General features: G+C 38.5%; 1 annotated feature.

Annotated features, from left to right (window-relative positions):
* Positions 1,556 to 2,055: an enhancer, noted in NCBI's record as "H3K4me1 hESC enhancer chr1:218795207-218795706 (GRCh37/hg19 assembly coordinates)". NCBI's record gives its function as "activates a minimal SCP1, AML or CMV promoter by ChIP-STARR-seq in naive H9 embryonic stem cells {active_cell/tissue: H9 hESC(naive)}" and the evidence as "EXISTENCE:reporter gene assay evidence [ECO:0000049][PMID:30033119]".

The following is a 17,683-nucleotide window of genomic DNA, read 5'->3' as shown; positions in this document are numbered from 1 at the left end:
CCAATAAGCACAAGCACTAGTTGTTCAAAATTTCCTACGAGTTTGTGCTCATCAAGGATGGGGCCTAATCAGACAAATGCCCAAAATGATTGTGGCAGATTATATTTTTCCAAAATTATGGCCACCATAAATATATTCCATTCTGCATCCTCTTCTTACAACTGGACTTTGATGTGGAGAGATGGGGTCTATGTCCCTTTCCCTAGAGACTGGACACAATGTGACTGAGTGGTGGTAGAGCTGCCATGTGACTTCCAGTGCTAGGTCATAAAAGGCATGTGAGGAAGCTTTTATACTGCTTGATACTCACTCCTGTAGCCTTTGGCAGCCACATCTATAGTCTGACTGTCCTGAGACCACTATGCTTTGAGGAAGCCCAATGGAACCTCTGTGGAAAGACCACATGGAGAGGCTCTGCGAATCCAGGAGAAGTGCCTGGCAAACCTCCAGCATCTTCAGCTTTCTTCACCACTGCTCTTCCAACTCCAGCCAACATCTGCCAGCTGCCACATGAGACACCTTGAGGCACAGCCACCTAGCCAAGTCTTTCCCACATTCCTGACCCACAGATACCATCAGAGATCATAAATATCTATTGTTGCTTTAAGCCACTAAATTTGGGGGAAATTTATTATATATCAATAAATAATCAGAGGCCAAGCACGGTGGCTCACTCCTGTAATCCCAGCACTTTGGGACGCCGAGGCGGGCGGATCACGAGGTCAGGAGATCGAGACCAACCTGGCTAACATGGTGAAACCCCGTCTCTACTAAAAATACAAAAAATATTAGCCGGGCGTGGTGGCAGGCACCTGTAGTCCCAGCTACTTGGGAAACTGAGGCAGGAGAATGGTGGGAACCCTGGAGGCAGAGCTTGCAGTGAGCCGAGATCGCACCACTGCCCTCCAGCCTGGGCGACAGAGCGAGACTCCATCTCAAATAAATAAATAAATAAATAATCAGAGTAGCCACTGACCTGTTAATCTAATTGAATAGCTTGTTAATTTGTTTTACAGAATATGCACAGAAAAATATTATAAATAATGTAGATTCAATCAGAGACATCAGGTCATTTTTCTAACTTTTTATTAAAACCGTGTGCTTCCTTACATTTCTAATATTGCTACAATTGCACTGTAAGGGGAATAAAGGCTTATTTTATGATTTTTTTCCTTTAGCATTTCCTTCTCCCTCTTCAATTATATTAATTGTTTTATCCTTTAAACTTCAATTCAAGTTTCTGGTCACCTTAGCCCTCTGGGACTGCTCCTTCTTTCGAACTTCTCTGCACTTCTGACTGCAACATTTACTTGGCATTTAGAAACTATCTTGTGTGTGTGTTTGTGTGTGTATGTGTGTGTACAAGTCCTTCTTAAGTAGATTATAAATTGATTGATGTCAAAAGCCACATTTCACACTTTTTATGCCATAATACCCCATTAAACTATAGCATAGCATTTTTCATAATTCCATGCTTAATTTACTGGATTTATCATTTGGATAGCCAGTTGTTTTTTTTTTTCAAGCATCATCATTAATGATCACCAGTCAACTTGATTCAGTCATTTGAAAAGCCAGATTTCTATGCATAAACCTGTGTATTTGTAAAGTCAAAATAATTCATTTAAAAGTTACAATTTAACTGCTAGTGATTGTCATTTTGGAGATGGGAAAATAAATAGTGTTTAACTAAAGCTAGTCCTTGAGTTTTTCTCACATATATGAAAGTCATTTTAACCAAAGGAACTAATGTAATTTATATTTATAGTCACAGTCTAATGTACAGCTGATTAAGAAAGTTAGTCTTCAATTGAGGCTATAAAAAATTTTTCTCTTGTTAAAGAATCTTACTGCTTAAGTAATCTTTTGTTTGTTTGTTTGTTTGTTTGTTTGTTTGTTTGTTTTTGTGACGGAGTCTCGCTCTGTCGCCCAGGCTGGAGTGCAGTGGCTCAATCTCGTCTCACTGCAAGCTCCGCCTCCCAGGTTCACGCCATTCTCCTGCCTCAGCCTCCCGAGTAGCTGGGACTACAGGCGCCTGCCACCACTCCCGCCTAATTTTTTTTGTATTTCTAGTAGAGACGGGGTTTCACCCTGTTAGCCAGGATGGTCTCCATCTCCTGACCACGTGATCCACCCGCCTCGGCCTCCCAAAGTGCTGGGATTACAGGCGTGAGCCACCGCGCCCAGCCTACTTACGTAATTCTTATCATCAATGAATCTCACTTAGGTTATGAACAACATCAAGATTAAATTGGATTCAAATCAGTCACAAAAAAGGTGAAGGTTATTTTCATTTAAGTCAATACAAAAAAATGCATTTTGTTTTCCATATGACTTTGTTAGCCAATCAAGCTAATCAAAGCAAGCATGCTGGGTTTTGTTACAGAATATATAGCTTCAATCCAAAGTAATCTTGAAAAAGCCATCACTCGCAATGGTTATTTGCTGATCTGCAGGCAGAAGGATCAGCTGACTGCCTGAATTTTTTACTTTTCAGCTAGCTGATTTTATAGAGTTTGTTCCACTCAAGATGGCTTTATAATAAAAGCAAATGTGAGAAAGTCCTCAGTTGACATGCTGGGGATATTGACTTGGTGCCTACAACAGCAGCAGTGACCTTTGGGCAGGCCTGCCCTCACGATCAGAACCTCCCACCCAGGACCCTTCACTGTGAACCCAGAGTCACCCTGGAAGTGGAAAGATGACCCCAGCTCCCAGGTGGAAAGCAAAAGGCAGTGACTAGGAGAACAGAAGGTCCTCAGTGAAAAGGCTTAGTCACACTCAATGTCAACAATATGGGAGCCAAAACAAAGTCATATTAGAAAATAAAAAAGGAAGTGAGCAGTAATAGAAAGTTATGAAAGTCCCACCAGTTTTGTCTTTTCTTCCATTGGAATCCATGTGATATCTAACTAGGGTGGTTATGATAGCCACTTATAGATTCTATTTAAAAGAATTATGTGTTGGCATACTCATATAAATAAATGTACAGTTATAATCACTTAGAATAAATATAGTCTTAACGTGAAACAGAGGATTGATACTTTCATCTCATGTTTGTAGTCTTTCATTAATCAGGGTATTGACAGTGATGTTTGAAAGAAAAGTTATATGACCACCCAGGATAAGAAATATCAATGTAAATAATCTTTGTCTTGTCAGTGAATTTTTCAAGTATCAGCTTGTAATCACCAATCCTATCTTCTACTTATGAAAGATTTCAGAATTGCTTTAAAGGTAAAACAGAGGCAAGTCATTGATTTTTATCAGCGCTCAACAGATTTACCTAAAAGATGCATAGATTGTCATGCAAAATCTGAAATATTGGCTCATATTTTTAGGCCTCTATAAGTGGAATAATTGTTGGAATGCAAAGTGGTTACCTTCCAGAAAAGAGCCTCACTGAGCACCTAATCCAGATGAATTAAACTGAAAAAATTGACTCAAACTGAATTGAATTGAATCCTATCGAAAACACCAGCAGAAAAAGAAAGAGTGAGACCACATCACAGCTGCTTATCAGAAAATAATGGCAAGTTGCAATGTCAACAAGATATTATTATTCAAAACCATCAACAAATCAACATTCACAGGGTAGGAGAGAGGGGCAACAGAAAAATAACCCACTCAAAAATATCTCCCTCAAAAATATCTTAAACCCTACTGTTAATTAATGAGTCAGGACTGTTGATTCCAAGTATCAAAAAAAACTTAAGTCGACCTAGTTCAAGCTCCACCCCAACTGCCAAAAAAGTAGGGTGGAAATTGGTGCCTTACAGTTCACCATAACTGAGATGCCTGCCTATCCCAATTCACACGTCTATTCCTGGCACTGATGGGAGAAATGTGGTTCTACATAAGGAAGGGATTATGTGAATAACACATACACACCACACACGTGAGTGCACACACACACACATGCACACATACACACACCATTTGCACAGTATGTTTAAATCTAATTTCAGTTGTAGTTAATTTGGCTTGAAGGAGTCATAATGTCAAACCAGAGCTGTCTCTCCATCTCACAGCTCTTCTCACTATGTGTTGACTTTATCATTATTGTTTTTTGACTGCAGAGGAGCTTCTTCTACAGGCCAACAATGATTGTCCAGGCACTTCATCCTCATAATTACCTGTTTTAGCAATCCCAACAGAAAGAACAATTCTTTTCCTCCATCCCTGTATTGATTCCAAGAAAGGACTTTGGGCTTAGATGGCTCAAGCACAGAAACCTTGAGCTAATTTTTATTGCCAAAGAGATGAAGCACCCATCATTAGCCCACCTGGCTCACATGCCTCTCCCTGGCATTCTGTAGAAGTACAGCTTCCCAAAGGGAGGAAATTTAAAGACACATACACTAACACTCAAAGCGTTTACCTGCTACAATCCATCATTTATACCTTTGAAATAATTATTGATCTTCTCCTTAGATTTTCTCTTTTAAGATAAAAAAAGATTTCTGGAAAGTGTATTATTAATTTAGTAATCTTGTAATATGAATGAATTTATTGAATACTTTTACCCTGGATAGAAGATGAAGAATTATGACACTGTTGGGCATTAGTAATAGAAATGAATTAAAAAGACTAAGAGTGGGAATCCAGACAGTTTAGGATGATGCCAAGGATAAACTTTACCTGTTTTACTGTTTTGCCCCTGGGCATAATTTTGTCCTTCGACTAGGGGAAGACTATCCAAAGTGGCTTTGAGCAGTATAAACTACAAGTTGCAAACTCTTTCAGCACTAAAATAAACAAAGCAGTGTTAGAACATGTAGATCAAGAAGAATGCAAAGAAAAAAAATCAAAACTGAAATGCTCAGGAGCTTTGCAGATTCAGAACTTCTAAAACTCCTGTCCAAATATTAGATCTTCCTGATATTCAAAAATGACATAGCTAAATATTTTTAACCTTTTCCCTCAAGGTCTCCTGAAAATCACATTTAGAACCTAAGAAAGACAATTAATTTGTCCAGTAAATGTAGCATATACCAGTGACTACCTTTTTTTTTTTTTAGCAGTGATTATATTTAATTCAGTTTTCAAACCTCTCTTCTACCAAGCAACTTAAAATTGAATGAGTAAATGAATGATTTAATGAGTGCTACATTTACTGGCAGTTCCTGGAATCACAGACTCACAAAGTAGCTTCTGAGCAGGACTGCATTCAAGGCATTCTTCCAAACTAGTTTTTATTTTTTATTATTATTATTTTTTAGAGACGGAGCCTCGCTCTGTCGCCCAGGCCGGAGTGTAGCGCCTTGATCTTGGCTCACTGCAACAACCTCCGCCTCCCAGGTTCTAGCGATTCTCCTGCCTCAGCCTCCTGAGTAGCTGGAATTACAGGCACACGCCGCCACGCCCGGCTAATTTTTTGTCTTTTAGTAGAGACTGGGTTTCACCGTGTTGCCCAGGCTGGTCTCGAGCTCCTGAGCTCAGGCAATCCCCCCGCCTTGGCCTCCCAAAGTGCTAGGATTACAGGCATGATCCACCACGCCCGGCCTAGTTTTACTTTTTAAAAACCTCCAGTGAAAGATTCCACAGCTCCTTCTAAATTCTCAGAAGTAAATAAGACATAGTGAAAGAAAATAGTAAGTAACAGCCACCTATACCACCAAGGTGGTAAAAAAAATCAAAAGATGTGGACAAGTGTAGACAAGCATGAACAGAATGTTGTAGTGGAAAACTGGGCTTTGGAGTGAGGCAGGACTGAGTTTAAACCTCACTTCTGCCAAACAGTAATTGTTTCACAATCTTGAATAATACACTTGAATTCTCTTTCAGTCCAGTTGGTAGATAGAGTTAAAATCTTCCTCATGAGAATGGCATGAATAAATTAAATTTGATAACATGTGAAACAGTACCTGACTTGTAGTTGATGTTCATGAAATGGACCTACACTACTACTGATAGTTTGTAGAATTGTCTCACACATCTCCTTGGGACTTCTACGGGCTTTGTGGGAGGCCAGAAATAGTGGGAAAACCAACATCATGTGTAATCCAACAAACTGAGACCTCAAAAGCAGGAATACGAGTTTTATCGGCAAATGCCCCACCTAGATAGAAAAGTTGTTTCCATATGAGTTGTAAAACAGTTTGGATGAGTGAGAGATTCTCATGAATTTTACTTACCACTAATTGCTTCTTCATGCAGAGTAGTTTTTGTTTAGGCCACCCTCTGTGCCTTGAAAAGGAGAGCTTCTTCTGAGTATGTGTTGTTAAACTCAGTAAGACTTACCCTCCTACCCCAACCCACAAAAGCACTAATTACTACAATATAAAGAACAATTCATTTCCAAAGTATTTTAAGAACCCTTTAGCCGAAACTATAACATGCAATTCTATTCAGAATAAAAGGGGAGGGTTTAATGACAATGATGATTAGGTAGCACTTTCAATTACTTTAATGATGATGCAAAGTTTGTTCGCATTAGATCTGCAACAATTTTATCTACCAGTCTCATAGCAGAGTGGTCAGGAAGCGTTTAAAACTAATTATTTGTGCTTACTTGTGTTGAAGGACTTACGACCTTGTTTTTGAATGCATTCAAAACTGTGGACTCATGACTCAGACAATATTTGATTCCCTATAACACAGACCTACCACTGCAGCCTAATAGTTTTCAGGGCAGTAAAAATACACACCATAAGCAGACACCTACGATTAAATGACCACCATATTTAATTTTGCCAACTCTGGACTCTATTTACCTGTCTCTATTTTCTCTCATTATTCTCTAAAAGGTTTCTCAAAAGTAATTGTTTGATTTAATATGTGAAAGCTAGAAAGTCCTCCAGCACAGTTTCAATAGTGCAACTATGTAGCGTGTAGGTTCCAACTACAGTGTTGAAGAAAGGTAGTCAAACTTATGGTTTAATCTCCTCAATATTTTAGAATATGAGAAAATGATGCTCAGGCAATTAGGCTTCTCCCCACCCCCTCCTTTATGCACAAGGTCAGTTTGACACTCTGAATGGTTAAATCATCCTTGGCAAAGAGTCTGAACTTGGCAGAAGTTCCATAAGGAGAAATTCAGATGACTGATATCATTTGTAAAGTGAGTGCCCCACACTTAATCTAGCAGTGGTTTGTTTTTGTAAGAAATAGCAATGACTTAAAAGCAGTCATTAGGGATGTTTAAGATTTTACCGCTTTGACACTAGATGTGGTCTTCACCTTTAATGGCACCTTTTAGCATTAAACTTCATACATAAATAAGCAGTGCAGGCCTTCTCAAGTCAGCTTTTTTTCTGCTGTGCAGTACCAAAAGGATTCTATCAACTTCTTGCTCTAGTTATACATATATATATATATATATATATATATATATATATATATATATATATATATATATATTTAAAAAATACAGAACTTTCACTGAGTATAGGCTGGTTTTCACGGAAGAAAGCAGAAAACCAAGCATTGAGGCTCACTCTACCTTATCCCTGTTGGATTTTCAACAATCACGTATATTAAGCTCCAGGAACAGTGCAGCTTTTCCAAGGACTAACATAAATATCAGATTGAGATTTCAGGACCATCAAGCAATTTATCTGCTGGGTCAATACAGACTAAAAATAATATTGTCAAAGCTCTCATAACCAGCCTTTATGTAATAAATCACTGGATTAACCCAGAACCGTATGACTCTAAACCTCAAGCTTTTACACACTATACTGTATGTATTTGTTTAAACAATTGTTGTCAATTCAGAGGGAGAAAAATGAAAACCAAAAAAACAGGTCAATTGGCATTTATTTTCCTGAGTTTATCAATATGTGAATATTCTTGTCAACGTAAACAAAATAGTAACCTCAATAATTCTAAGTAGACCCAGTCTTAATTAAATTCCTTTATTCTCCTTGCTCCTGTAACCTTTCTTAACAAGAATCAGAAGAATATAAAAAATTATATAAAGTGACAGGTAAATATTGTGATGTATTAAGAACGTTTTATAAATAGAACGTAACCTTGGTTTTCATTTTTTTAGGTACCAAACAAAATCAAAAGATGAACACAAGGAGTCTTAGTCTTAACTTTTCTACTATATAGGAGGAAAGTACTTTTTCTCTACCCTCCTAGTTTAGTGAATGAGGCCTGCGAATTAAACTGACGAGACAATTAAGAAGGGAAAAGGAATGTGTTTCTTTATTGATATAATTATTTTAACATGAACAAGGGCTTCACAGGAAGAAGTAAATGTCCAAAGAAGCAGTTAGACTCAGAAGCTTATATACCATTTTAACAAAGGGTGATAAATTATAGAGAAGCAACCAGATGAAAGAAAGAGGATGGGGAATTGAATTTCTAAGGCTGGCAGATGGTAAGAAGGTAAGTATATGGGGAAACTAATGGAAGATGAGGGTTATTTTCATAAGGTTTGCCTGTGCAAAGCCATCTCAGTGAGTTTACGGCCATAAAACTCCCCCACAGACAGGATTTATCACAGTTCTCATTTCTTGGAATTTTTCATTTTTAGTTAGATAAGGGAAGCTCCAAGAAGCTGTCTTTCTGCATCTGTTGGTTCTCAATTGCCTTCATTTTAAAATAAACCACATGCCAAAGCGGCATATTTTGGAGTGGCATATTCTCATTCTCTTCACCATTAATTTCTTCAGAGATATTTGGTATGTCCATTTATTTCCCTGGGACTCAGTTTTCTTGACAGTGAAGTGAAGAAGTTACAATAGATTTCTAAATTTCATCCATGCTCTAATATTCTGTGGTTCTTTTATATACTCATCATGGGTTTCATTTGCAAATGCTGCATAACTTAGAGTCACTCTAATCAGGTAACAATGTAAATATGATGCCAAATAAATTTGACTGATGCTTTCCCAAAGTTTATTGCTGTATTCAAGAAAATACTCAACACATGATATTCAGTGAGATAAATAAGCAAAATGCAGTCTGCTTGGGAAATGAGATTACCTAATTCTTATTGAAGAGATTCAATGAGGGTAAATAAGACACTGCCCGAAAGCAAATTAAAATATTAGAGGCTTTCTCAGGATCCCATGTAATGATTCTAGTTGCACTACCATGTTGCTTATTCCCACTGTACACTGACACTTCTGGGGATGGTAGTAAATTAAACGAAGTCATACTTTCATCTATATCCAAGAATTGCATCCTATGATCAATTCCAACCCAATTCCATTACCCAGAGAGTTTGACTTTTAACTGCTTAATAATCCCAAAGGGACTCAAAAGAGTCCCTTAAAAAGAATGGGTCTATAGTTACTCTACAGTTTCTTGTAGGCAAAATTGTGAAAAAGAAAATTTCCAGACTTAGCTGAAGGAGAGACATGCAGGTCCAAAAGCAGCAGAAGGAGGTGGGTATTTGGCAGGTTACTGTGGCTCTCTTAATCAGGAGCAATGACTTTGTAAAATGAGGACCACTATGATTCTTCAACCCAAATATCAACTGAATTGTGGATGCTTTTTTGTGAAAGAGCAGGGGAACTTATTTTCAAAGTACTGGCAACCCATCAGAGAGGAAAAATTAGCTGTAATGTCCTGTTATACAGGCATTCCCAGCTCTATTTATATTCCACAATGACAGAAAATGCATCTGTCTAGTGTTGGAAAGACACTAGAGGCCTTAATTATCTGAATCCCCTCTCCGGTGGTTGAATAAGAAGGGCGTATCCTCACATTACTACTCCCTGAACTCCAACAAAGACCTGGTCAGAAGGCAGTAGGTCTGTTCAAGGAGCCAACAGGAAGCTTTCCCCAACTTGAGCCAGTTGGATAGGGATGAAGCTTGCTTCAGCTGGAAGTCATTTGTACATTTCCTCAGACTAATCAAAATCAGTGGCTTATGAGAACACATGAAAGGTAATCTTGCTTACTCTGATCTAGGTGCTAAAGTCCAGCTGCTAAAGTATTTAAGGGAAGTACCTGAAGTTGTCTGGTTTGCTTTGATGGAGAACAGGGTCAGAAAGAAAAAACTGCTCACAGAATGGAAAAATAAGAATTTGAGGCGTGGTACATTTATGAAAGGTCATCAATGCTTTCCAAAATTCCACTAGGAAATTTGGGTAAGGATGGGTGGGGGCTCCACCACATCTGAAGATTTCCTTTGTGTTACCTAATCAAACAGGTTTCACCAAGGTTGTGTCTACACAGCAAATAAGTATAGAGGAGGAAAAAAAAAATTGAAACATCAGACAGCTACTTTTTCCAAGAACAATCATTCACATTTGATCATAAAACATCTAGAAAGTACCACATAGTCAAAATAAGTAATTGTTTGAGAAAACACATTTCTCAAAGTGTTTTGTGGAGGCCTTTGTTTTTCTAAATGTGTCTCAGAAAGGGGCATCCTCCTTGAATGTGTTTGAGTTGTTTGCACTTTTCCAGAGGTTGAAAGAAGAAGGAATTGCTAAGGATGACCTATCTTAGGAAAGCCTATCTCTGGTAATTCTGTCCAACAGGCCGACAACATGGAGATTTGCTCTGCCTTCTGGAAGAAAGTATCTATTGCTGTTTTTCAGCACAAGCAGAATTGGTCCTTTAAGTTTACCTGAAAGCAAACATTTGCATATGCTACTAGTGAATCTTACAGTAGGTAAGTGTCAAATTTCAGCTGCAAGCACCACCCTGGAGGACAGCAATATTGCCCAACAATATAATTGTCTCAGGAGGCACAAGTGACTGGAAAACACAAGATCATACACAGCACCTCCTTCCTAATCAAACACTACAGAATAGTAAGCTTAAGCTCATATAAACCTTTGCAAATTTTCAAAAAATTCTATACTCCATGATGCTGACTCAATACAATGTTTTCGTGACTTTGTTTTAAAAATGATAGGGTATCAGCTTTGTATTAGGTGAAATATACCTGCCAGGTATATATGTTAGGTAAATACACCTGTCATTGATGAGTTTGAGGAATGAAAAACACAGATCCTTGCTAAACAATGTGAAGAGTTCTGTAACTGAGATATGAATAGGGGATTATAAGAGTGAAAGAAGATAGCCAAAGAAAATTATCTGGAAGAAACAAAGCTTTTGGCCGGGCGCGGTGGCTCACGCCTGTAATCCCAGCACTTTGGGAGGCCGAGGCGGGCGGATCACGAGGTCAGGAGATCGAGACCATCCCGGCTAAAACGGTGAAACCCCGTCTCTACTAAAAATACAAAAAATTAGCCGGGCGTGGTGGCGGGTGCCTGTAGTCCCAGCTGCTTGGGAGGCTGAGGCAGGAGAATGGCGTGAACCCGGGAGGCGGAGCTTGCAGTGAGCCGAGATCCCGCCACTGCACTCCAGCCTGGGCGACAGAGCAAGACTCCGTCTCAAAAAAAAAAAAAAAAAAAAAAAAAGAAACAAAGCTTTTGCCTTTGCGGTCTTTAAATGCCTTGCTCCAAATACTGTGTGTTGCTTGCTGAAAAAAAAAAAAAAAAAAAAAAAAAATCAGTCCAATTCAGTCTTTACCAAGCTATTTTCTTTTTTTTTTCTTTAACTATATTGAGTCAGACCATGACACACCCCACTGGCCCTATGCTCAATGCCTTCCTGGGTCCATCCACTCACCCATGTCCCAGACCAAACTGTGCCCTGGCACAGAAACCTGAGTCTTTCAACCAACACTTCATATAACATGCAACATTCACCTAGGAGTTTAGTAAGAGGGGATCACCTTAGCCAGACAACCAGAATTGTGGCTGTGACTGGAAGGAGGAGGAGAGAAACAGGAAGAGGAAAAAGGTGGAGGAGATGGGGAAGGGGAAAGAGAGAGAGAGGAAGGAGGTCCAGGAGGAGGGGAGAAGAAGGGAGAAAGAGGGAAGGAGGAGAAGGGAAAAGAAAAGAAAAAGGAAGAAAGGAGAAAAAGAAGTTGGGGAGGAAGAGAAAAATGAAGCAGATGAAGAAGGAAAAAGGAGAGGAGAAGGAGAAGGGGGTAGGAGAGAGAAAGAGGAAAAAGGAGGAGAAGGAGAGGAAGAGAGAGAAGGCAGACTCTAGAATTAAAAAAATAAAATACATAGTGACCCTGGATGAAACACTGATTTGTGTTTATTTGCTTATTTGCTTTAACCACGGTGTTACACAACCAAAAAAAGAAATAAACAAAAGATCTATCTCCAGAAGGAAAAAACAAAAACAAAAAAAGCAGTTTCTGTCTTCTGAAAGGTGAATGTTTAAATTTACTTTTAGGAATGGTATTTTCATTTCTTTCTATTGGAAAGCTACCTGGTATACAGTAAAACACATGGACATCCACTGTTTCAGGACAAAACCCAAGTACCATGAAGTTCCCTGAATGCAGATTTTTCAGCCTAAGAAATTCTGCTATTATCATGCAAATTAATCTTTTTTTTTCCTTTGGTAAATTGATGTCTTTCCAGATGTTATTTCCTCTCAAAGAGAAATCCCTTCCTCCCCTATATAACAAATCAATACATAGACTGCTGACTATATTTTAATAGCAACTTTTGTGATATTGTGTGTGCTCTTCTTATTGTATAGGAAATATTAAATAACATTATTTTGAAATAGATTTATGTTTGAGTCCAGGACATTGGAGTTGTAGTAGAAACAATTCTAGTAACATTTCCTTGAATATAACATGAATGCATGTTCATTTTGACTTAATTTTAGCTAAGATTGTCTTTACTGAAGAAGAATTCACTTTCTAGTGATCTGTTTCTGAGGCTCACTCCTCTCATACACTAGGATACTTTTGAGTTTGGTCTCAGGAGGTGTCCTGCTTTTATTGGCCTACTCAGCCGTGGATACATAAAAGGTACAAATGTCATGAAAATATAAGTGGAGTTTTGATTTTTTTGGTTGCCTGATAACCATTATCAAGCCTGATTACCTTGTTGCTTTGGTGATGGTACCGAGACTTTCGTGGGAAGAACTGTGCTTAAATATACAACTTAATTTAGTGGGTCTTTTCACAAAATGAGCCTCTCTCCACATAGGCTGAAAGTACTTGGTTGAATTTTCCATTTTCAACATATTGGTTTGACTTCTCAATGTGCCACTAAAAATATATTAAAAACAAATCAGCTGATTGTTTGACATCAAAGACTACCTGCCCCATCAGTCCCACTCCTCTCCAACAAAACAATTATTTTGTTGAACGTTTCATTTTGGGATCAGCTATTTAGACTTCTGCTAGACATGTGCTTGACTTAGCATGCAATGTACGCAATGACAGAGACTGGTGTTAATGCTTTTGTGCACTAACACATATTTGTGTGTGTTTAGACATAAATACCTATCTAGGTGAGTATGAAATTGTATAAAACATTGAGGCACAAACTAACCCTTGACACCAGTGATTCAGAGCAATTTTCCAGCTGAAAAATTTCCAATTCCTTGATTTTAATTACCTTTCCTTTTAAGTCAAAACCTACTTTTACTCTCTGAAGGGGATCATAATTAATGATCTATGATTTGTGTCTCAAGAATTTCTTGGGCACTTCAAGGGAATAATTTTATTTGAACTTTTTACCATTAATGGCTTAATAATGAAAACAGTTTATTCATTTTCAGTGAATGAATTGTTAGATAGCAACTTAGTTCTCTACAGCAGGAAATCTCTTTCCACGTGCAGAGACTTGAGTATCCCCTCTACTAAACTTTGTGTCACTTGAACACATTCATTTCCTTGGGTGAATGTACTACAAGCTGGCCTCCTCAGTTACCTGCACCATACTATAGGGCAATGGCCAGCAGTAAGATTCAGTATACGAGTACATACTTAGCCAGGATACCACTCTTAATGCTACAGAAATTAAGACCATTTTCAGAGGAATGTGTGAGTTCTTATTGCACTGTCCTTTCCCTCTTCCATGAACCTACCATTGAAGGATGGATGAATGGATGGATAGGCAGATGACAGATAGATATTAATAGATGATAGATAGATAGATAGATACATAGATAATGTTTATATGTCATTGAAAGGACATAAATAGGAATAGATGATATAGATACAGATATAGATTCCTAGATCAATATGTGAAATAAACAAAAGGATTTTCCAAGTCCTCTCCCTACTGCCTTGAGTGTGCCTTAAGAATTCCCCAAGATTTTTCCCTGGTTCTTTTCTCTTCTTGTTCTACCTACTTTCCCTGGGCATTCGCATGGGTTTCACAATGGTTTCAACGACTACCTGTAGACTAATTGATCCCAAACACTCATCTCTTGCTCCACAACCTACCCTAAAGTATCATGCAGTCCCTACCTTCATGCTGCATAGGCACCACAACATCAGCATATCCAGAAATCACCTCCTTACCGCCTCCATTATCAGCACTTTCACCGCCCCATTATCACTTCTCATCACCTCCTCAAAAATTTCTCGTGCACTTTGAGGGGATAATTTTGTTTGACCTTGATAGTAGTGAAGGCTTCATCATAAAATATTTTATCATTAATCTTATCTATGTAGAAACCTCAGTGTCAACCTAGGGTCCTCAGCCTAGTCTACTTATCCCCTACATCAAATGTCTTCTCAATCCTGTTGATTGTCTACTTGATATGTCTCTCAGATCTGGCTTTTTTTTATTGCCATTCTTATTCTGAGAATTCAGCCTTCATCTCTTACCTGAATAGTTATGCTACAGGGGCAGGATACTGTGGCAAGGGACACAGGCATATAAAATCAGGGTTTAAATCCTAACTTGGCTGCTTTCTTGCTGGGTATCCTTGATTGAGATGCTTAAATCACTTATCTACATCTTCTCATGACATTATTTTGTGCAGTAAGTTTAATGTTTAATGATTCTAATGTTCTCAGGGTTTTGCCTCACACACAATGAGCCTTCAATAAATGGCCACCCCTCATCAAAAGTTTGCCTGATTTAAGCCTCTTCCTACTACAACCCACCAAAGAGGTATATTTCTAAAAATAAAGATGTCAATGTCGGTCTCCTAATTTTAAACCCCTTGTACATTACCTGTATCAAGATTTATCAACAATGTCACTTTGGACCTGATAATTTTGAACAAGATAATTTTGGACTAGATAATTCTTTGTTGTGGGGTCTTGTCTTGTACATTGAAGGATGTTTAACACTCTGACCTTTACCTACTAGATGCCAATAGTACCTCCTCCTTTGCAACAATTCAAAATGTCTCTAAACATTGCCAAATATCTCCTAGCAGGGAGGGGAGTAAAAGTCACTTCCAGATGAGAAGCACTGGCCTGCATGACAAAGTCCAAATTGTTAGCTTGAATTACAAGAACCCTCACAAGTTGATCCAATGCTCTCTCTCCTCCTTTGTTTCCTTCTATTCCAATCCATGCTTCCTATCCTCCACTCACATTCAGCCTCTCTCATAGGGCCAGCTCCTTTCACAATCTTTACCCTTCCATGAACTTAGTGTTTCCCACTCCTACAATGCCCTTTTCCAACTTCTCTTCCTAATGAACCCTTCCTTTTTATCTTATACCCAGCTCAAATGTCACCTTTTTCCAGGGGCTCCTGGTCAGAGATACTTTCACTTGACATATACTCTTATATTTTTGTCTTGCTGAGAACATCCTGCATCCTGTGTCTATTCAATTGTCCTTATTATATTGTGAATTTCTAGAAAACAGGGAGTAAAACTGATTTGTCTTTGTCCACCCATAGCTAATAGTATGGCATATAGCCCATCATAGATGATCAATAAGTATTTTAGACAAATTGAACTCTCATATATCCTCCTATTCACTGAGTTCCCTTTGAGTGTAAGTACATTATTCCACAAAATATTTTAAGCTTTTCTTTACCTACTGAAATATTCTCCTCTTGTCATTTGGTCAGAACCCTTTTTGATAACTAACAACCTAATCCACTTTGGGGCAGTGTATGTTAGTGACAGAGAAAGTTACCCTTCCAGGAAGCCCTCTGTCATGGCAGCAGGCTGTGCTGTGCTTAAGCACACCAGCGCCTGTAGGCAGCTTTGCTGGGTTCAAGTTTGTCTTTTTTTTTTTTTAATTGGCAAAATGAAGATTCTGATGGTGTTAACTTCAGAGTGTGATTTTAAGATTAAATGAGTGAATGATTCTAAAGCACATACAAGTATTCCATAAAAATTGACTGTCTTTGTTAAATTTATACACCTATGTAAGACTCTGTTGAAATAATGATTTTATGACAATAAGACACTCAGGGAAGTGTTGGTGACTGGAAGTGTTTTTAGGATCTAGAAAACATACCATATGAGCAACCTCATGTTTTAGATAGTCCTAGGGGAAGTCTCACATCCACCATAGCATCAGTGCCATGAAATGGTGCCCCCACTCCTTCCATATCTCCTTCATGTATAACTGCACACATGAAATATATCTATGCATATTTATAGGCTGACCTTGTTCACGTTTCAGTCATATGTATATACATATTTTTTAAATGTATGCACCCACATGTATATGTACAGTTGTTTTTAAGTGCTGACCTTATTCAAACATGCTGAAACACATTTTCCTTCCACTTATATATCAGAAAGAAATTGGCCTCTGGCAACAGTTGCTGTGAAAGTTCAACTGCCAAGGCACCCCAGGGTCAAAAGTTATCCTTGTTAACAGAGCTTTGAGAGCAGTGGATGTCTGTGCAGGCTTAGCTTTGTAAGCAAATCTTTAAAGATTAACCTACAAACTTGGAGGAGAATATATTGGTAGAGCATGTAAGGTGAGCTGACTGATATGTGTCCTATTTTTTTGATTGACAAATAAAATTGTATATATTTATGGTGTACACCATGATATTTTGAAATATGTATACATTGTGGAATGGCTAAGTAAAGCTTTGCATTACCTTACATACTAATTTTTTGTGTGATGGGGACACTTAAAATCTACCCTCTTAGCAATTTTTAAGTATACAATACATTGTTATTGTCACCATGTTGTACAACAGATCTCTTGAACTTATTTCTCCTGTCTAAATGAAATTTTGTATCCTTTGACCAACATCTTCCCAACCCTTTCCCCTGCTTAGCCCCTGGTAACCATTATTCTACTCTATTTTTTAGTTCAACTTTTTTAGAATCCACATTTTGTTGTAAAGAAATAACTGAGGCTGCATAATTTATACAGAAAAGCCAGGTGTGGTGGCTTACACCTGTAATCCTAGCACTTTGGGAGGCCGAGGTGGGTGGATCACTCGAGCTCAACAGTTCGATACCAGCCTGGACAACACGTTGAAACCTTGTCTCTACCAAAAATACAAAAAAATTAGCCAGGCATGCTCGTGCATGCCTGTGGTCTCAGCTACTTCAAGGCTGAGATGGAGAGGATTACTTGACCCCAGGAGGCAGAGGTTGCAGTTAGCTGAGATCGTCCCACTGTACTCCAGCCTGAGTGACAGAGTGAGACCTCATCTCAAAAGAAAAAAAAAAAAAAAGAAAAAAAATTAAAAAGAAAACAGGTTTACTTGAGTCACGGTTCTGGACGCTGTACAAGAAGCATGGCACCAACATCTGCTTCTGGTGAGGCTTCAGGAAGCTTCCAATCATGGTGTCAGAAGAAGGGGCACCAGCATGTCACATGGTGAGAGAAGGACCAAGATAGGGGAGGGAGGTGCTAGGCTCTTTTTAACAATCAGTATTCAAGTGAACTAATAAAGCAAGAACTCCACGAGGACAGGACCAATTCATTAATGAGAGATCTGTCCCATGACCCAAACACGTCCCCGCACTAGGCCCTAGTTCCAACACTGGGGATCAAATTTCAATA

Source organism: Homo sapiens, chromosome 1 (genome assembly GCF_000001405.40).
Source record: "Homo sapiens chromosome 1, GRCh38.p14 Primary Assembly".
Classification (NCBI taxonomy): domain Eukaryota; kingdom Metazoa; phylum Chordata; class Mammalia; order Primates; family Hominidae; genus Homo; species Homo sapiens.
This window is presented reverse-complemented; position numbering and strand designations above follow the sequence as displayed.